The sequence below is a fragment of the Homo sapiens genome, chromosome 16, assembly GCF_000001405.40.
Source record: "Homo sapiens chromosome 16, GRCh38.p14 Primary Assembly".
Taxonomy (NCBI): Eukaryota; Metazoa; Chordata; class Mammalia; order Primates; family Hominidae; genus Homo; species Homo sapiens.
Genome location: NC_000016.10, coordinates 57,222,483 through 57,244,370, shown reverse-complemented (window position 1 = coordinate 57,244,370; position 21,888 = coordinate 57,222,483). Strand labels below are relative to the sequence as shown.

At 40.9% G+C, this 21,888-nt stretch overlaps 1 protein-coding gene across 15 annotated transcripts in view, besides 1 other annotated feature; it reads right to left on the bottom strand.

Annotated features, from left to right (window-relative positions):
• Window positions 3,902-21,888, bottom strand: part of RSPRY1 (ring finger and SPRY domain containing 1) — a 54,318-nt gene continuing 36,331 nt past the window's right edge. For all 15 annotated transcript variants that reach the window (XM_024450483.2, XM_024450484.2, XM_047434854.1 and 12 more), the window contains 5 exons: window positions 16,918-17,029; window positions 13,558-13,660; window positions 13,052-13,204; window positions 9,143-9,247; window positions 3,902-5,492 (listed from right to left, as the gene is read on the bottom strand). In XM_024450483.2, the coding sequence (XP_024306251.1) occupies window positions 5,396-5,492; window positions 9,143-9,247; window positions 13,052-13,204; window positions 13,558-13,660; window positions 16,918-17,029 (570 nt within the window). In that variant the 3' untranslated portion in view covers window positions 3,902-5,395. The remainder of the gene's footprint in view (window positions 5,493-9,142; window positions 9,248-13,051; window positions 13,205-13,557; window positions 13,661-16,917; window positions 17,030-21,888) is intronic.
• Window positions 8,779-8,908: an enhancer, noted in NCBI's record as "active region_10885". NCBI's record gives its function as "activates an Ori minimal core promoter by ATAC-STARR-seq in GM12878 lymphoblastoid cells {active_cell/tissue: GM12878}" and the evidence as "EXISTENCE:reporter gene assay evidence [ECO:0000049][PMID:35858748]".

Sequence of the window (21,888 nt, the reverse complement as noted above, 5' to 3'; positions counted from 1 at the left end):
AGGTGGCCAGTCAGAATGGGTTAGCAGACATTTTTTATTTTTTTGAGACGGAGTCTTGCTCTGTCGCCCAGGCTGGAGGGCAGTGGCACGATCTCGGCTGGCTACAACTTCCGCCTCCCAGGTTCAAGCGATTCTCGTGCCTCAGCCTCCCGAGTAGCTAGGATTACAAGTACGTGCCACTATGCCCGGCTATTTTTGAATTTTTAGTAGAGACAGGGTTTCACCATGTTGGCCAGGCTGGTCTCGAACTCCTGACCTCAGATGATCCACCTACCTTGGCCTCCAAAAGGGCTAGGATTACAGGTGTGAGCCACCACAACCGGCCTAGCAGACATCTTTGAATGGACTTAAAATAGATATCCGTGGGATCTGAAACAAAGATGGTTACAAAGACACAGTCGGGTGTGACAGCTGTGACCAAGGTGACATAAATTATTACTAATTTATTTATTTATTGAGATGGAGTTTCGCTCTTACTGCCCGGGCTAGAGTGCAATGGTGCAATCTCGGCTCAACACAACCTCCGCCTACCGGTTTCAAGCGATTCTCCTGCCTCAGCCTCCCGCGTAGCTAGGATTACAGTCATGCGCCACCATGCCTAATTTTTTTGTGTTTTTAGTAGAGATGGGGTTTCTCTATGTTGGTCAGGCTGGTCTTGAACTCCCGACCTCAGGTGATCCGCCCGCCTTGGCCTCCCAAAGTGCTGGGATTACAGGCGTGAGCCACTGCGCTCGGCCTATTTATTTTTTGAGAGGGAGTCTTGCTCTGTTGCCCAGGCTGGAGTGCAGTGGCGCAATCTCGGCTCACTGCAATCTCTGCCTCCCGGGTTTAAGGGATTCTCCTGCCTCAGCCTCCTAAGTAGCTGGGATTACAGGCGCGTGCCACCACACCCGGCTAATTTTTGTATTTTTAGTAGAGACAGGGCTTCACCATGTTGGCCAGCGTGGTCTCGAACTCCTGACCTCTGGTGGTCTGCCCGCCTCGGCCTCCCAAAGTGTTGGGATTACAGGCGTGAGCCACCGCACCCGGTCAGGTGACATCAATTATGAGTTACTCTGTTTAGCACCAAGTGGAAGATAGGCATTTAAAAAGATTTGCTGAATTACTGGACTGAGTTGTTTAGTCAAGCCCTGGTCACACAGCTTACAGCAAACTCAGAGAGTTTCTTCATGACCTACTTTCTCTATATACCACACATTTCTGGACAAAATGAATTTGCCTACCCTTCCTAAGTCATTGATGGAGTGGAGGAGGAACACACCTTGATTTAATCTGTTCTGGTTATCTATTGCTGTTACAAACCACCTGAAAATTTAGTGGCTTAAAACCACCATTTTGCTCACTAATCTGTAATTTGGGCAGGGCCAGCTAGTCTCTATTCCAGTTGGTGTCGGCTGGGGGCAGCTGGAATGGACTAGAGGAGCTTCCTCCAAGGAGTTTACTCACATGGCTGGCAAATTAGTGTTGGCTCTTGGCTCTCAGTTGTGGACATTGGCCAGAGAACTGGGGCCGGGGTTTGGGGGGTTTCAGTTCCTCTCCATCTATAGGATTCAGGGGATTCTTGGGTTTTCTCACACCATGGTGCTGGGTCCAAGAGCAAGTGTTTCAAGACACTGAAATGTAAGCTGGCAGTCACTTAAAGACCTGGTACTGGAAACTGGCACAATAGCCCTTCCACTGTGTTCCACTGATCAAGCAGACCCAGAGCCACCCAAATTTAAGGAAAGTAGACATAAACCTCATTTCTTGACGGGAGGGATGTCAAATAATTTGTGGCCATCTTTTAATCCATTTCACCAACCTTACTGACTCTAGGAACAAATGGGGATAAAGATAAAAAGTACCCACTCAAGGATGTATCAGATAGTGTGCTAAACATTTATAAATACATTGTCTCCTTTTGAAATATTTGAGACCTTACAAAAACAAAAAACCGGTATGAGGTGGGTAGTATCTCCATTTTACAGACTGGGAAACCAAGCATTAGTGGGACCTGGGTCCAGTCCCACTCCAAAGGGCCTATTTCAACCATCATGCTATATAGCCCCTAATCCCTGGGTTGTTAAACCATATTCTTGGAAATCAGAACGTTTTCTCCTGAATACAGAATGGCCTTTTTCCACTTGTAGCAAAACTAAAAATTGACTTGAATACACTAAATGTTTTTCCATTAATACTCATTTTTAAAATCCTTTGATTGGGGGTTGGCACTAGGAATTCTTCTGAGTGAATAAATAGCAAAAGGTAAATGATGGGCAATATTGGAAAGAGCTGATCTTAGGTGGATGGTTTGTTTTCATGGATACACATTCAAGATGGTTGAAACTTGTGCAAAAGTCATTTTCTGCCAGTGAAATTGTGTCAGTTTTGTGACTGAATCAGTTTCCTGGCACTCTGCAAATGGCACCATGACTTTCTTCTGCTCTATGTTATTTTAAAAAGGGGCAAATTCATTAAAAAACTTTTTTGGCTGAAATGCTGGATTTCCCCAGTGAATCACCTGACAAAATACCATAATTTTTTGTTTTTCTCCCTGGTAACAATTTATCAGTAGTAAAAGTCTAGCTTTTAATTTCTCTTAAATGCTTACATTCAGTTCAGAATATGGATGTACGACTTTACGCTTCCACATAGCTTGCTAACCCCTAGTTTTTTCTTTGATAGGGAGTTCCTGTCTTTCCCTTTGAGGTGGCTCCAAGTTTACAATTTAGCTTCCATCCTGGATGATTTGATCAATTTAATATTGAAGCCCTTTTGTTTTATGATCTAGAACTTAAGAACAGGAAACGTAAACCACCCTAGGAACAAAGTTCAAGGGTAGATTTTTAGAAAGCTGTTACACTCCTGCATTCCTTTGCCTGGCAAATTATTAATTCCATCTATTTTTCCTTCTCTCCACTAAATGTACAGACTACCTTTAGTTTCAGCTGGACCACACATTTCTTTACTGGTCTATTTCCATTTTTTTGCTTGTCCTTTACCCCCAGCCCACCCCACTCCTCCATTCCATTCTCCAAATAGAAGCCAGAGCCATCTGTTAGAATTATCAAGGCACTTCCATGCTTAAACACCTTTGCCTTCTACTGCACTTAGTATAAAACAGAAAATCCTTCACATAGCCTTCATGAGCAGTTCCCTGGCCTCTCCAACACTGTAGCATTACCTATTCTACCTACTTGCTTCCTATTTTTCCAGTTACAGGGGCCTTCCATCGGATCCCCAAACCCACTGAGACCCATTCTTCCTCAGTTAGTGCCTTTGCCTAAAATGTTGTGTTCGCCTAGCTACCCAGTCCTAGAAGCTAGTCCTCAGTCTCTGCCAGGCTATGTCCTACTTCCTCCTTTAAGTTTCACTAATGTTACTTCCCCAGTGAGGTTTCTTCTGACACTCCCACCACCATCTAAATTAGGTCCCCCTCATTCTCTCTAGGACCCTATTCTTTTCCACTAAAAATCTGTTACAATAAACACAAATATATTGTCTTCTCCCCACCTTAGGAACAAACTTCAAGGGTAGATTTTTAGAAAGCTGTTAGGCTCCTGCATTCCTTTGCCTCGCAAATTATCTATTAATTCCATCTATTTTTCCCTCTCTCTACTAAATGTACAGACTACCTTTAGTCTCAGCTGGACCACTTCCAAATTACTGTTAGACATAATAATAGACAATAATTAGACAAGCTTATTAGACATAAGCTCTACAAGCATATTTTGTATGCCACATAGGCACAGTGCCCAGCACATATTAGGTGCTCAATAACAATCTGCTGGATGAGTAAGTGGCCTTATTCTTAATTCTAATACTTGATTCTCTCCTACTCCCAAAAGTAGCCCTTAAAGTCTGAGAGTATAATGTCTTGGAACCTTAGCAGTATACACCAATGAAAGTTGTGAAATCTTAGTCAAAAAAGGCAACAGATGTTTTATTCTTCAATGCAAATTACTGTATTCACCACAAGCTAAAGAAGAGAACATGTATCCTACATATATATTTATATATATATATATTTTTTGTGTGTGTGTGTGTGTGTGGATTTATGGAAGACTAAAGACACGGAAAAAAATCCAGCACCCCAACATGTACAGCCAGGAAGGAAATCAGTTCTGTAATAGGACAGGTATAATGAACTACAAACAAGAAGGGGTGGAAAAAGAAGAAAAAAAAATGTGCATTGAGTTTAAGACACTGTAAAACTCAGAAGACATATTTACTATTCAAGTATAAACTCTGTAAGGACTTGGCATAAATTGAAAGGCAGCTGCTGAGGTACACCATTATAAAAGAAGTTCTATGAATTTACAATTCTACCTTCCAATTTCCTGGGAGAAAAAACCAAACTCTTGAAGGTCTTCACCAGAGACCCTGAGAGGGATTAACACTTTTGATGAAGACATAGTCAATAATTCATGATTGAACTATTCAAAAACATGTATTTATTTAGAACAATAGAAATACGTGTTCTCAGACTGTCCTCTAGAGTTTTTGAGACTATTAGTTCAAGAGTTTCAAAGTATATTACTTGTAAAAACAATACTGATTAAAAAAATTTTTTTTAACAAAAAAACAGAAATCTGATTTGATGGTACCTTGAAAATACCCTAAATACCAAATTTTCTCCAACCTAACATTACAGCTAATTTAAGAATTCCTCCTTCATTGGTAAAACATTTTTTCCTCATTAAATGTGGGTACTGAAATTGGATAGAAACACTATGAATGTGAAAATACCACCAATTTTCTGCAGTAAAAAAAAAAAACCCAAAAAACAAAAAAACAAACAAAAAACCTAGAATGTTCTTTGGAATCACTGAAATATCACAAACTTGGGTTTTTTCTTACAGTCTGTGCACCTTCTTTCAGGTTCTCTGTTTTGCTTGTAGTACTGACTGTGTGATTCTAATTTTTATAGATTCAAGTCTTGCAATGCAATATCCATGCTTGACACACCGGTGTCTCTGACCAGTGAGAAGTTATGCATAACCCAGAAACGCTGTCATTTACATCTCCATAAAGACTTCTGCCCCAAATAAAAACTTCAGAATGACACAACACATCCTGTGTTAAACAATCAAATGAACCCAACAAGGGGGATTCCAGTGTGATTTCAGTACTTGGGAGGGCATTGTCTGCTATGGTTTCTCATGGAAGTACCACAGGCCTGGCTGCTAGCATTCAGCTTTCCTTGGCCTTAAAAGGGATTTTCTCAGGGCTGGCAAGTTGGATTAGATTCTAAGAGAATTTTGTCTTTGACAAACTACCATTTTTAGCATAAAATCTGGCCATGGCTATAAGTTTCAATGTGTGTACAACTGATTAGAGAGTTTTTTTTTTCTTTTTCTTTTCAACATTGGCTGGAATTGAGTAGAAAAAAGTCCACGATGCCTCTTCACATGTGTCATGAAATATGAGAAATCTGTCTGATTCTAGATACTATTTCTTTACGACACAATGGGCAGGTCTCCAGCTGCAAGGCACAATCCATGCACAGGTCACTGGGGAGAAACACAGAAAAGTCAGTCAAGTTAATGCTTCAAAAGGTCAAACTCCAACTGCCTGCCAACTAAATCAAAAATGTTAACAAGTTTGTTCATTGAAAGGGTTACTAATTATACATGGTTTAAAAAAAATGAATATGTAAATAAAAAGTAAATCTTACATTTCTGATCCTCAATTGTCTTAGTCTGTGGAACAAGTAAAAAGTTCATATGCATTCTTTCAGACACTCTATATGTGCACAGCATATACTTACAGATGTGCACTTATAGGTAGGGATATAATATTTCTCCCCAGAAAGCTAGCCATTTATCCCAGAATCATTTACCAAACAGTCCATCTTTCACCACAGTTTTGACACAATGCCTTTGTCATATGGTAAATTTTCATTTTTAGTTAGTTCTATTTCTGGGCTTTTATTGTATTCCATTATTCTGCCATTCTTGTCATATAGTAATGGGACCAAACTATTAACATTTATTTTAATGTATTTTAAGATGTGGTATGGTTGTCATCTCCCTAACTTTCAGAATTTTCTTGCCTTAAACTTTTAAATCAGCATGTCAAGTTCCAGAAAAAAATCATGTTGCTCTTTTTATGTTGAGCAAATTAAACTTAGAGTTTAGAGAAAACTGTCACCTTTACAATACTGAGAGGTCCTCCTATCCAAGAAGAGACTCATTTATTTAAGTCTTCTGTTATACTCTTTGGTAGTTTAAAAGTTTTCTTCATATACGCTCTACATATTTCTTGCTATGTATTCTTAGATAGCACTTTTTTTTTTAACCATGGTAAAAGGGATCTTCAATTATATGTTCTAACTGGCTGCTATTATACATATAGCTAGAAGAGCTACTGATTTTTGTGTATTTTGTAAGTCATAGTGGTGACAGTAGGCATCCTTATCTTATTCCCAACATCTCTTGAAATGCTTCCTATGTGTCACCATTAAAAAGATGCTAGCTGGTGAAACCCCGTCTCTACTAAAAATACAAAAATTAGCTGGGCATGGTGGCGGGCACTGGTAATCCCAGCTACTTGGGAGGCTGAGGCAGGAGAAATCACTTGAGCTCGGGAGGCGGAGGTTGCAGTGAGCTGAGATCACGCCACTGCACTCAAGCCTGGGTGACAGAGCGAGACTCCGTCTCAAAAAATAAATAAATAAATAAAAATAAATAAATAAATAAAAATAAAAAAATAAAGAGATACTAGCATTTGGCTGAAATATATGTGTTTTTTGTATTGTTATGGAAGTATCCATCCATTCCTATTTTATATTGTTTTAGTCCATTCATTTCTGTTTTGTAGTATTTCATCCATTAGGAATGGATATTGAATTTTAACAAATGCTTTCTCAGCATTCTTGAAGTGATAACTGCCCCTCTCCTGCCTCTGGCCTATTTGAGTAATTATATTAAAGATTTCTATATTGTAGGCTGGGCATGGTGACTCATGCCTGTAATCCCAGAACTTTTCGGAGGCCAAGGCAGGTGGATTACTTTAGGTCAGGAGTTCGAGCCAGCCTGGCCAACATGGTGAAACCCCGTCTCTACTAAAAATACAAAAATTAGCTGGGCCTGGTGGCATGCGCCTGTAATCCAAGCTACTCGGGAGGCTGAGGCAGGAGAATTGCATGAACCCAGGAGGCAGAGGCTGCAGTGAGCTGAGATCACACCACTGTACTCCAGCCTGGACGACAGAGCAAGACTCCATCTCAAAAAAACCTGCCTTTGCCTGGGCTGGAGTGCAGTGGCACGATCTCTGCTCACTGCAACCTCCACCTCCCAGGTTTAAGCAATTCTTTGTCTCAGCCTCCTGAGTAGCTGGGATTACAGGCGCCCACCACCACGCCCGGGTAATTTTTTTTGTATTTGTAGTAGAGACGGGGTTTCACTGTCTTGGCCAGGCTGGTCTCAAACTCCTGGCCTTGTGATCCACCCGCCTTGGCCTCCCAAAGTGCTGGGATTACAGGTGTGAGCCACCGTGCCCAGCCTAAGATTTCTGTAATTGTACCATCCTTGCATTCCTAAGATAACTCCCCCTGCCAGTTGCGTTGCTAGGTCTTACTTTCTAATATTTTATTTGGGAGTTTTAGATTTATATTCATAAAAAAATAGTTTTTTCTTTTTATGAGTTTTATCAGCTTTTGGTATGATTACTAAAAATAACATTGTGGTTTTCCTACTTTCTCTATGGTTTGGCCAAGTTTAAATAGAATTGGGCTACCTATTCCCTGAAAGTTGTAAAGAGTTCACCTGTGAAACTAGCCTTAGTACTTGTGGAAGAGAAGGCAAAGGTAGCTTTGATAACCATTTTAACTTCTTTTATGGTAACAGGAATGCTTAGATTTTCAGTCTCCTCTGGGGATTGACTCTTGTAATTCATTTTATCCAGGTTTCCTTTCTTTGTCCCTATATCCCTTTTAAAATTGTTGTTGCTGCTCAAAGTTTAGCTAAATTTTCTTATAATTCTTTTAATGTCCTCTTCCAACTCTATTTTGGATATATATCTACTATGGAGACTATGATCATACTTAAGATACCTAGTTCTAAAGTTTTATATTTCAGCACTCATTAATGACCCCTTGTATTATGTGCAAGACCACAGGACCAGAGAGCTCAAAGATGATTAAGACCAGATCCAGCTGTTTGAGATCTTAACATTCTTACAGAAACAAAGATCAAAAAGGGCATGAAGATATCCAACCTTTAAACTCTGCATCTGTCTGTGAGGCCCTGATAACTAAACCCTCCAAATATGCTCAAACTGAGAAATTCTGGGCTGTAGAAGTAATAGGGAGGATTAATCACAGCTGGAATCACTGTGCCTTTCTTTCAGAAGAGAGGCTGGTATAGCTAAGGGTGAAATGAGACACACTCTACTTCCCTTAAGTGCACAGCCAATTAGATAACCCGTTTCAAAAGACAACAAACGTAGAGAGGCAGAGTCAGGGGCCCAGGCTGAGTCATTCCTGGGGATGACAAACTGGGTTCATCACTCCAGGCTCTGGACCCCTGTGGAGCCACGTGACTAAAGCTATGTCAAAAATAAGACCAAGGCAGGGTATGGGATATGATGAATTACAGGTAGCTGGCTTGTAACATCAACTTGAGTGTTGCTCATAAACAATCGGCACACATTGACTGGCCAGGACGCCACATTGCCCAACTGCTCTTCTCCTTTCTAAACTTAGTTGGGCTAGCCTTCCTGGGGACCATCTTACTTGCTTCTCTTGCTGATGCTCACTCTGTTCTATAGGGTCCAGGCTGCCCTCTGAGTTCATCTCATACAACTGAAATTTAGTAAGATGACATGGAGGCTGCTAACTTCTCAATGGTTGACTGTAAATAAGAAGTAAATGAGGAAGCTCTAAAACTAAAAGAGTGCCTAGGAAGCTCATAAATAGCATTAAACCTGTTACATTTTGTGAAGCCAAAATTGTATCAAAAATACAGTACTGAGTAAACAAAACAGCCTTCCACATCAAGCAGCTGCTTCTATTTCAGGTACTTTCTGGAAGACAGCCAGGTTCTACTTAAACTCTAGTTCCTCATTCAGCCTGCTTTAGATACAATAAACCCTGACGAACAGCCATGGAACTAGCAATTTAAGAACAGTATGAAACTTTGCCTAATATAAATCCTCTTACCTGTGTCCACATGGCTTCAATTGTGTGTCTGCTACCTCATCACAACAAAGGGAACAGCAGTTTTCTCGGATACTGACTTGCTTCAACAGAGCAAGACGCCTGTGCCTGAGTAGAAAAAGCAATTTGAAATACATTTTGTCAACAGGGGTCCTGTTAGCAGTGATGCATATGAAATGTTTTGAAAATGCTCTGCACCTGTGACATATATTCCTTAAACTTTGTTCAGTAAGGTTTTCATACATGCCATCTCCTTTCAATCCTACAATCATTTTCTAAAGTAGAGAATGAAGGAGGTATAACCATTCCCATTTTATAGACAAAGTTCAAGGAAATGACTTGTATAAGGTATGCAGTCAGGAATCAAATTAAAATCCTTTAGTTCTAAGTCCAGTGCTCTTTTTATGTTACCAGCAAATTTCAACCTTTTAAATCACATATGTGAGAGTCTGCTCACAAGCATAGAGGCTTTCTCAAGAAAAACACACATATACAAGTTTTTATACAATTTCAAGGGGTTTATAACAGTTCATTTTAGACTCCCTGCAAGTCCAAACACCTCAAGTTAGAACCCTTCCATTATACTTTCACTCAGCATGGAATGGAAGCAGACAGGCAAAACTGTTCTGCTGAAGGTACAGCCCTAATATATGGGCAAGGGAAGCATGAAGCATGTATTCAGTTCACTTACGGGCTTACTGTGTGCCAGGCACTGTTCCAAGCCCTAGAGATTCAGCAGTGAACAGAGGACTAAAAAAGTATCCCTGCCTTTGGAGAGCTTATGCTCCAGTAGGGGAAGACAGAAATAAACAAGATAAGTAAAATACAGTGTTAAATGCTGATAAATACTATGAAGAAAAGGGAAAATGGGAAGGACAAGGAGTGTACACATCAGAGGTGGGGTGTTATTAAAACAATTTTAAATATGGCAGCCAGGAAAGGTCTCACTAAGGTAATATTGAGGTAAAGGGAGTGAGGAAGTAAGTTTTGTGGTTGTTTGGAGAAACCGTTTCGGGTAGCAGGAACAGCAAGTGCCCTGAAGCTATCATAGGCCTGGTGTGTTTCAGGAGCAGCAAGGAGGCCAGGGTGGCTGAAGGAGCATGAGAAAACGGGAGAGGGTAGGAAATAGGTCAGAAAAGTAACATAGGGAAGGGAGAGGACAAATTGTACGGGGCCTGGGAGGTCACCGGAAAGGTTTTGGCTTTTCCGTTCAGTGAATAAGAAGCCACGCACTGGCATCTTTTGAGCAGAGAAGTGTGTGATCTGACTTACGTTGTAACAAATCATTCTGGAGGCTGTGTTGAATAGACTGAAGGGGATCTGGGGAGGAACAAGGTAGAGGGCAAGACAAAAATAATATAGGTAGGAAATGGTGGAGGCTTGGACCATGGTAGCAGCAGTGAGGGTGATGAGTAGTTGGATTTTGGATATATTCTGAAGGCACAGCCTACTGGATTTGCTGAGGGATTGAATGTGGAAATAGCAGAAAGTAAGGTGTCAAGGATACTCTACGGTTATGGCCAGGGAAACTGGGATGATAAAGGAGTTATTAACAGACGAGGGGCCAGGCACAGTGGCTCACGCCTGTAATCCCAGCACTTTGGGAGGCCGAGGCAGGCAGATGGCTTGAACCCAAGAGTTCGAGACCAGCCTGGGCAACATGGCGAAACCCAGTCTCTACAAATAATACAAAAATTAGCTGGGTGTGTTGGCATGCCTGTAGTCCCAGCTACTCAGGAGGCTGAGGTGGGAGGATCGCTTGAGCCTGGGAGATGGAGGTTGCAATGACCTGAGATTGTGCCACCACACTCCTGGGCAACAGAGTGAGACCCTGTCTCAAAAAATAAAAAATAAAAATTAAAAAAACAGAGATGAGAGAAGACTGAGGGAGAAGCAGTGGCTGTGAGTGGATGACTTGTAGCTGAGAGTGGGTATGTGGTGCTTCACTGTACTATTATTTTTTTCTTCTGTATGTATTTGAAATTTTCCATAATAAAAAGGTTAAAGAAAAAAAGAATGAATGGAAGAATTACAGACAGAGAGTATATACAACACAGAACAATTTATAAAATCCCAGTTAGTAGTAACAGGGCCATGAGCTCCTACCCTGATGCCAGAAAGGAGTAATATTCCAATGAATATAAAGTATCACTGAATATACATTTTTGGAACACAGGATGAAAATATTAATGGCACAGAAAATGGTCTCAAGTAAGTTCATACTTAATGCCACAATTTATAATTAAGCACAACTGGAATGTTAAGGGCAGCAAGGTGCAAGAAGGAGGTTGGCACTAAGGTGGCCACTCAGTTAGGCTCCTGACAACTATATCTTCTTGTTACTATCAGAGAAAACAGTCTAGAGACAGCATAGGATTGACCTAGCTTGGAATTCAGCTGTTCTTATTCAAGACAAGACGAACTTTGGGTACCAAATTTATATACATGGTTACCAAGAGAGTATGTATAAGCTGCCCATAAAATGAGACTTTCTGATAGTTGATGCCCATTGCCATCTGAGTTTGGGAAGGTTTAATTCTGCAGGAGCAGTTAACTAAATGCTGAAGCATTTTAACTATGTCCAGTCCCCATGGGAACTTAGATGGATCAATTGTCCCTTTTAGGGTATATGTGAGAAGACTTATTTGTGGGCTTCATCCAAGGAAAAGGCAGGCTAGATGAAAAAGAACGGGGTATGATAGATAAGGGAGAGGTGTCCCCTCAGACTTTGGCCAAGAGGAATTTAAAGTTCAGAATCTCTGTCAGGCACCAAGGATGAGCCTGAATGAAAAGTTCTAGGAATTAACCTCAGAACCCTGAGCGGGAACATATGCAACCCTTATGTTCTTGGGCTATTACTGAGGCTCTGCTGCCAGTGTTACCATCTGCAGACAACACTACCATCATCGTCCCATTTTCTAGTTCATCTGGAAACTATTGAACCACTGAGACAGTGATTCCAAGGTGAAGCACAGCCCAGAGCACTGCTTGCAGATCTGCTTTTTGAGCCAAAACAAGAGCTAGGATTACGTTACAGATATCTTCAGGGGCATACCAGTCCGACATTAGCTATGTCATGGCCAGTATGCTGGCCTTGGCTGCTGAGAGAGACTCTCTTACTGATATAAGATATGTGGTATTAGTAACAGGAATACCCTTTAAACAGGCAGCTGCTCTGTTTAAAATGATAAACTTTAGCTCACATTGTGAAACAAGCTTCAACTTGAAGTAATTACCAGGAAGCAGCTGGAGTCTTTCCCCAGCCTAAGGAATAGACTACATTCATCTCACAAGGAAGTAAAGCAGGCATTCATCTGATAAATTAATGCCAATCACAGTTTTTGTCAAATAAGGGCTGTAAAATTTTATGCAAGATGGTATTCACTGATGGTTGTGGAACAGTGTTGTCATCTTTGCCACACAGTTGAAACCACATAAAAAGTCTGTTTCAATAAAGCCGAGTCTGCTAAAAGATGTACTAGATTTCCTAATATTTAGGATTTTGACACTGACATTCACGTGAAGTTAGTTTGCAGTTTGTGTGCATGTGTCATATTTTTCTGATTTTTATACCAATCTTATTTATCTCACAAAAAAAATTTGAAAGTGTTCCGTCTTTCTGGGTTTGGTAACATTTTAAATAACAATAAGGTTATCTGTTACCTAAAGATTTGGTAGAGATCCCCTGTGAAACCACCTGGGTCTGGTGCTTTCTAGGGACAGATATATACAATAATTGGTTTGTGTATATTTCTTCTGCGATCTTAGAAATTTATATTTCCTGAAAAGTCATCCATTTTACTCAGGTTTTCAAAATTTATTTGTTATATTCTTTTAACGTTGATTATAAATTGTTTAATTTCTCATAAGATTCATGTGAAAGTCTGGAGATAGCCTGGGCAGATTCCTTACCTTGGCAAAATGATTTTTTCTTCAGCTGTTAGGAAGGCGTAGTCATTAAAAGTGCTAAATTTCATAGATGGTGGGTATTTGAATGGTTTTGCTCCAAAATTGAACTCACATTGTTGATATGACATGAAACTAGCTGCAGCAAAAAATCCAGATCTACAAATAAAATGAGTACAGAGGCCAATAGAATTAATAAAAATCAAAATAGAGTTAATAGATAGAACAGTTTTCAGAAAGGCAGGGTGAGTCAATCCTACCCTGGCAGAAAGGAAGAGTGACAGACTGTGTTTATAACCCACACAGGTCTGTGACTAGAGAATATTCTGCCTTATCTTCCTGTATCAAACTTTGGGATAGTTTTAGGTCTGATCAAATGGGTTCCCAATCACTTGAAATTAATCAATTTCTCATCACAATTGCATATATAAATGGACAAAGACTTTTTTTTTCCTAGAGAAAAGGGCATTCCGTGCATCTACTCGAATTTTTGACTGAGAAGAGCTACTTACACAGTAGATGAAAAGACTTGCTTTTCAGGAGGCAGCTGGTTGCCATTTAAAAAGAAGATCATTTGCTTTTCATTCAAGTCTAACAGAAATCCTACTGTATCTCCTAGAGGATAAAGAGAAACACTGTTAGGATAATGATGTGTACTACCAGGATTCTTTGCTAAGCATCTCAAGTGTTTCAATGGCACTGTATTAAGTCTGCATCTTTAGCTATGCATTCAACATGTTAATTTTTGTTTCTTCTGTAACTGATCTGACCCCTATACACCAATATTTTAATGTAACAATAAGAAAAAAATACTGCCAATTAAATTATGACAAGCCAATCTTAAGATGCATCCCAATTTCAAAGATGTTAAAATGTGGGGAAAAATACGCATTTTGGGCTCAATGAAATATGGTAAGATCAAAAAATCATGTGGTCACTTGCCTCTCTGGTGAGATTTATAATTCCCTAGATAACTACCCCAAAATATGCCTTTCTTTAAAAAAAGGCAAGGCAGGCTGGGCGAGGTGGCTCACGCCTGTAATCCCAGCACTTTGGGAGGCCAAGGCGGGCGGATCACCTGAGGTCAGGAGTTTGAAGACCAGCCTGGCCAACATGGTGAAACCCCGTCTCTACTAAAAATACAAAAATTAGCTGGGTGTGGTGGTGGGCACCTGTAATCCCAGCTACTCGGGAGGCTGAAGCAGGAGAATCACTTGAATCCGGGAGGCGGAGGTTGCAGTGAGACGACATCATGCCATTGCACTCCAGCCTGGGTGACGGGGCAAAAATCCATCTCAAAAAAAAAAAAAAAAAAAAAAAGGGCAGGGCGTGGTGGTTCATGCCTATAATCCCAGCACTTTGGGAGGCCGAGGTGGGCAGATCATCTTGAGGTCAGTTTGAGACCAGCACAGCCAACATGGTGAAACCCCATCTCTACTAAATATACAAAAATTACCCGGGTGTTAATGGCAGGTGCCTGTAATCCCAGCTACTTGGGAGGCTGAGGCAGGAAAATCGCTTGAACCCTGGAGGTGGAGGTTGCAGTGAGCTGAGATCGCGCCACTGCACTCCAGCCTGGGTGACAGAGTGAGACTGCATCTCAAAAAAAAAAAAAAAAAAAAAAAAAAAAAAAAAGCATTTATCTTCACTTATCAGATAAAGTAAAACTCTAAGGTTTCAGTTTTTGGTTTTGTTATTTTTGTTGTTAAGACAGGGTCTTGCTCCATTACCCAGGCTGGAGTGCAGTGGTACAATCCTAGCTCACTGCAGCCTCAAACTCCTGGGCTCAAGTGATCCTCCTGCTTCAGCCTCCTGAGTAACTAGGACTACAGGCACGTGCCACCACCCCTGGCAAATTTTTAAAATTTTTTTATAGAGATGGGGGGTCTCATTATGTTGCCCAGGCTAATCTCAAACTCCTGGCCCCAAGTGATCCTCTCAAAGGATCCTCACACTTTGATCTCCAAAAGTGCTGGGATTAAAAGTATGAGCCACCACGTCTGGCCCAATTTTGGTTTTGAAAGATGAGATAAACAAATTTGTCTGTCAAAGATAAACAAATGAAATTACACAGCAATGACAAGAAAAATGGACACTCAATGCTGGTGGAGGAAAATCTGGCAATATACAGCAAAAGCTTTGAAATTCTATATCCCCCTTGCCAGAGAAGTTTCACTTCTAAGGGTTTTGTCTTGAGAAAATCCAGAATGGTCTATAATGATAATTTTAAAAGGCAAAAATGTCAGTGTCCAACAATGAGGCATTAATTAGTATATCATAGTACAACTATATAATGGAATACTGAGAAGCCATTAAAAGTAATGTTATTGGCTGGGCCATGGGGGCTCAGGCCTGTAATCCCAACACTTTGGGAGGCCAGAGTTGGGTGGATCACTTGAGCCCAGAAGTTTGAGACTAGCCAGGGCAACATGGCAAAATCCTGTCTCTACCAAAAAAATACAAAAATTAGCCGGGCGTGGTGGTGTGTCCCTGTAGTCCCAGCTACTGGAGAGGCTGAGGTGGGAGGATGGATTGTGCCTGGGAGGTCAAGGCTGTATGAGCTATGATCACACCACTGCACGCAAGCCTGGGCTATCGATAGATGAGACCCTGTCTCAAAAACAGCAACAATAAAAAGTAATGTTATTTAATAACCTGGAAAGCTGTTCAAGGTATTAAGTATAACAACAACAAAAATATACATATATATAAAATTTAAGTGTTTTTAAAAAATCTCTGGAGAAATTACAGGGGATTTTTAGTTTATTCATTTTTTTTCTATTTTTCAAATTTTTATAATAAACATATTACTCGAATAATCCTTTAAAAAATTCTTATTAAAAAACAAGCTAGTTTTTGAAAACAGGGCCTTTATCATATGCTCCATTAAATGAAGAAGTTTTATGTTCCTTCAAGAACCTGCAAGCCATTAAAATGAGTGTTCCTGTTGGCTTTTCTGATTTTTTTCCCACACCACCAATTTAATCAAGTGGAGCTGTTTCCATATGGGGGTGGGCAAATTCCTGCTTTCCTTTTTTTTTTTTTTTTTTTTTGAGATGGAGTCTCACTCTGTTGCTCAGGCTGGAGTGCAGTGGCGCAACCTCGGCTCATTGCAACCTCTGCCTCCTGGGTTCAACTGATTCTCCTGCCTCAGCCTCCCAAGTAGCCGGGACCGCAGGTGGGTGCCACCACACCTGGTTAATTTTTGTATTTTAGTAGAGATGAGGTTTCACCATGTTGGCCAGGCTGGTCTTGAACTCCTGACTTCAAGCAATCCACCTGCCTCAGCCTAAATTTCTGCTTTCTTAGCATGCCTAAAAATTCAGTTTATATCCATAATGCTGATTGGGGTAGCAAAATGAGAGAGGGATGCTTGGAGAAAGAGTTGGGTTATATCCTCTATCTAGCTCTGATGCTAGGAATCAAATCCTTCCAGAGGTTATATCCTCTACCATATGACCCTACTTCCTTAGAGCGTGGCCACTGGATAGGACCTGTTCCATAGCCATCTTGTCCCTGAAAAATCCTCATTTTAGTGGCATTACAATTCCAGTGTCCCTGATATTGCCATGGCTGCTTTAATTCAAAACAGATCCAAAGAGGAAAATAGAATTCATACTAATCTTGAGTATCATTTTCTGACAAATGTAAAAAATTTATTTTCTGAAATGTTTTTGCTACAGGAAGAACTCCACCAGAGGTAAATTTATCAGAGGAATACCATTTATATCCTTGGCAGTGACACAAAAGTTAATATCCCTTTTCACATTTGATCTTCTCCTAAGACATTTTAAGGCTTAATGTAATAAATGCCTCATAATAACCAGATGTCTTAACCCACTTGATAAATTTATAATGGAGGGAATGAATACCTTCTTTCCAGCATGGGTGTATGTGAGGCTTACTTCTGGCATTGTACCAAATCAGCTGCCGGCAGCCATCATACGCACAGGAGTATTCATCATCCCCAATGCCGTAGCCTTCCTGGAGAGAGACAAGGCCCAGAAGATTAGCAAGTCTGCCTGCTCTGACCTGGGAACAGAGAGTGTGTCTTTTACGACCACTGACCTAATGGCTGGGATTCTAAGCTTTCTGGATGATGAGAGAGCTCATGGTTTTTTGAAAATACTAAAATTATGACTTAGAGGGCTGGTTCCAAGTGAATAGATAATGACTTCACCAACAAATATTTTCCCAGTGCCTCCTTTGTTCAGGCACTTTCACATTTGTTAGTTCATTTAATTCTCACTAACATTATCATGAGGCTGGTGGCATCAGACTCCATTTTAAGAGGAAACAAAGGCTCAAAGAGGTCAACCAGCTTGCCCAAGCATATATTACTTGCCCAAGAAACAGAGCCAGGTTTGAACCTAAATTCTTCTGATTCCAAGATCAGTCAGTACACTTGTATATCAGCACAAGATTGTCAGAGGCATTCAAACCAGAGAGACTCCATCTTGAATAGGGGCAGGGTAAAATGAGGCTTAGACTTGCTGGGCTGCTCAGCTGCATTCCCAAGAGGTTAGGCATTCTTAGTCACAGGATGAGACAGGAGGTCAGCACAAGATACAGGTCACAAAGACCCTGCTGATAAAACAGGATGCAATAAAGAAGCCAGCCAGAAGCTGGCCAAAACCCACCAAAACCAAGATGGCAACAAAAGTGACCTCTGGTCATCTTCACTGTTCATTATATGCTAATTATAATGCATTAGCATGCTAAAAGACACTCTAACAGGTGCCATGACACTTTACAATGTCATGGCAGTTTGGAAGTTACCCTATATAGTCTAAAAAGGAGAGGAACCCTTGGTTCCAGGAATTGCCTGTCCCTTTCCCAGAAAACTCATGAATAATCCATCCCTGTTTAGCATATAATCGAGAAATAACTAAGTATACTCAGTTGAGCAGCCCACGCCACTGCTCTGCCTATAGAGTAGCCATTCTTCTGTTTCTTTAATAAACTTGTGAAAACACTTTATTCTATGGATTCGCCCCAAATTCTTTCTTGCGCGAGGTCCAAAAACCCTCTCTTGGGATCTGGATCCAGACCCTTTCCAGTAACAAGATCAGATCAGGCAAATACCTTTCTTGCATGTAGCAGACTTCAAAATACCCAAATATTCAGAGATTTCAAAACTGGAGATAAGAGAAAGGTTATAGTGGACACTCAGCTAAAAGCTATTCTGAAATCAGCTTGATTTGAGGATTGTACAGGTCCTTGGCAGTTTCTTCTTTTTTTTTCTTTGAGATGGAGTTTCACTCTTGTTGCCTAGGCTGGAGTGCAATGGCGCGATCTTGGCTCACCACAACCTCTGCCTCCCGGGTTTAAGCGATTCTCCTGCCTCAGCCTCCTGAGTAGCTGGGATTATAGGCATGCGCCACCAGGCCCAGCTAATTTTGTATTTTTAGTAGGGACGGGGTTTCTCCATGTTGGTCAGGCTGGTCTCGAACTCTAGACCTCAGGTGATCTGCCCGCCTCGGCCTCCCAAAGTGCTGGGATTACAGGCGTGAGCCACCGCGCCTGGCAGTTTCTTCTTTTTGTTACTTACTGCCTTTCAATTATTTCACAGAACTGTTAAAATAAAAGGGTGGCTGAGATCTTAAGAAATTATTTTGAGTGCTTATAAAAAATAGAAGCAGCATGCAAATCAGACAACTGCTATCTTTAAGGAACAATGGTGAAAAGTTTTACTAGAGAAAGAAATTGAAAATGGCCAAATCCAAGTAAGATCAGGTCCTGATGGCCTGCTTCTTCTATGGGGCAAACAATACAGTGAGGAGAGAGATTGGAAAAAAAGTTCTGATGAATGCAACAATGATTTTGTACTGGATTTTTGGATTACAACATACTGAATTTGGAGGAACGCTCTCCAAAGTGACTCTTCTGAAATAGCTATTGATATTCACTATTCAGACTACTCAAGAGTTAAATGAGCTTGCATCTAATTGCCTTAGAAATTCACCACCCAAGGCTGCCAAGAGCAGTGGCTCATGCCTGTAATTTCAGCACTTTGGGGGGCAGATCACTTGAGGCCAGGCATTTGAGACCAGCCTGGCCAACATGGCGAAACCCTGTCTCTACTAAAAATACAAAAATTATCCAGGTGTGGTGGCGCACACCTATAATCCCAGTTACTCTGGTGGCTGAGGCACAAGAATCGCCTGAACCTGGGAGGCAGAGGTTGCAGTGAGCAGAGATCACGTGCCACTGCACCCTGGCCTGGGTGACAGAGCGAGACTGTCTCAAAACAAAACAAAACAAAAGAAATTCACTACTTGCTAGAAAGAATGCCTTGCCACACCTTTCAAACGCTGAACAAGTCAGTAAGTAAAAAACTTAAAAACCACTAAAATGTAGGCATTGTGGCATAAGTAAAAGGCAAGCAATTCTTTTCTATCTTCACCTTCTAATGTCCTGAGAAGTCCTTGACAGAACACTTGAAAGAAATTCCTAGAAGCTAGCCACCATGAGTTGGTAAAGAGCAGACTCATTACACATTCTTTACCATGCAATGTCTTTGATGACTGGATAAGTTCCACAACAGAGTGGCACTGTAGCACAAAGAAGGAACTCTAATAACTTTAACTACAGAGCAGCATCTACAGATTTAAGGAGAAGATGCCTCTGCCTAGCAGAGATGCACTTTAAAAATCTCTTAAGCTTACATCTCAGAGAACAACCTAGATGTCCTACACCCTCTCTCAGCTCAAAATGTTCCCAGCAGGATTAATTTTGGTTTCCATTGGCTAGGACAGATAAATGAGAGAATAGAGTGGTTAGCTTGGTATTTATCTTGAACTACCTGTTTTTTGGTCATGCATATTTTAGCAATGGAAACATTACCAAATACAAACAAAAGAAAGTTTATCCACAGCTTGTCATTCAGGGAATAGTTTGAGTCTCTTTCCCACGTGGTGGACACTCTCCTTTTTCCTGCTGTAGGGCATCCCAACCGTTTCCTGTTAAGGGAAATGTATGAAGACAGTGTTCTGCCTCCTCCTTTGGAAGTGGAAAGGTAAGATATGACCTAGGCTTGGCCAGCTGGACCTTCCCATCAAACACTCAGTATGGTGCAAGTGACCCCAAACAGAGGGATAGTTAGGATGGATTTCCAGCAGCAATGGTGGCTGCATGCTGGCCAGATCGTTTCCCTAAAACACCGGCTATTGTACTTCCTGTTTCTTGGCCCTGACAGCCTTGGAGCCTGTCTAGTTCCAAAACTTCTCCATAATCTGGAGGCTCCGGAAAGGCTTCTAAATCATTCCTTTTCTGTCTGAGATAGCCAGAGTCATTTTCTCGAAGGCAGATGCTTCAACAGGGGAAGGAGCATGGGCTATCCTGGCCTGAAATCTCTAGCAGCTGGAGACTACATGGCTTTGGGGAAGTTTCTTAATTTCTCTCAACTTGATTTTCCTCATCTTTAAATGGCAGGATAATACCTTTCCAAACTCTCAAAAAGATTAAAGATAAATATGTGAAAGACCTCACAAAAGTGTCACATGACAGACACTCACAAAAAAGCAAAAGATATTTATTTATTTATTTATTTTTGAGACAGAGTCTCACTCTATCGCCCAGGCTAGAGTGCAGTGGCACTATCTGGGCTCAGTGCAACCTCTGCCTCCCATATTCCAGCAATTCTCCTGCCTCAGCCTCCCGAGTAGCTGGGATTACAGGCGCCCGCCACCACGCCCAGCTAATTTTTTATATTCAGTAGAGACGGGGTTTCACCATGTTGGCCAGTCAAACTCCTGACCTTAAGTGATCCACCCACCTCAGCCTCCCAAAGTGCTGGGATTACAGGTGTGAGCCACTGCGCCTGGCCAAAAGGCAAAAGATATTTTAGATAAATCAGAGTACACCCTTGGAGAGTTGCTCCTCCTAAGCCTCCATAAAAATATACAATACAACAAGACAAACTGTTCTGTAGGTTACCTGAACAGAACTATCCTTAAGCTTATTTTAATGACCTAACATTGAGCCCAGTGGCCAGCCTTTTAAAATGGAAACCTAAGCAGCAAGAATTCAAGTAAGAGGCACTATGCAGAGACTTAGAATCTTTTGAAACTGGGTGTATCCTAGGAATGACTTACTCCATAGAATCACACCCTGTCTGAATAGGCAAAAAGATTCAGAATCACCAGAACAATGTACATTTAAAGCAAAGTTTTAAATATGGCAACATCATTAAAATCCTGTATTTGGGAAAAGACATCGTATCAGACTTTATCAATTTCTAATAGGGAATCACCTAATGCTTGGATCAGGGAAGAGTGTTTGTTTTTAAAGAAACCAACAGCCTGTCAAGTGATCTGGAGGATAAAAAAACAGTATTTAAGTCTTTAACTTGACAAGCCAAAGGTCTGCAACTACATGGCAAAAGTTATAATTTCATCGAGCAGATGAAATGATCCAGCTTCACTGGTCATTAAAAAAACACATTTGTAACATTCAGTGCCAGACCTAGATCTGTAGTGTGTTTGCTGCCAAATCAGGAGAGACAAGTTTTATATCGAAGCTTCCTCCCTGGAAGAATCCCCTATTACTTCTAGTTCTAGAACAATTTTTCACTTCCAAATGAGGAAACTAGCTAATTCTCTGAGATTTTCCCCATTTTTGAATACAAAGAAAACAACTGTTGTAGAATAGGAAGGCCACTGAATTCTGGTATGAGTTTCTTCCTACTCTGTCTCAGTTTTCTCATCTGTGAAATGGAAATTGTAACAGTAAAAGCTATTGTGGGAATCAGATGATTGGCAGACTGGGGTCTAGTTCTCCACCCCAGACAGGAGTACAGACTTGACCTCTCCACTGGCCCTTTTCCTCCAATTTGTCTCTCT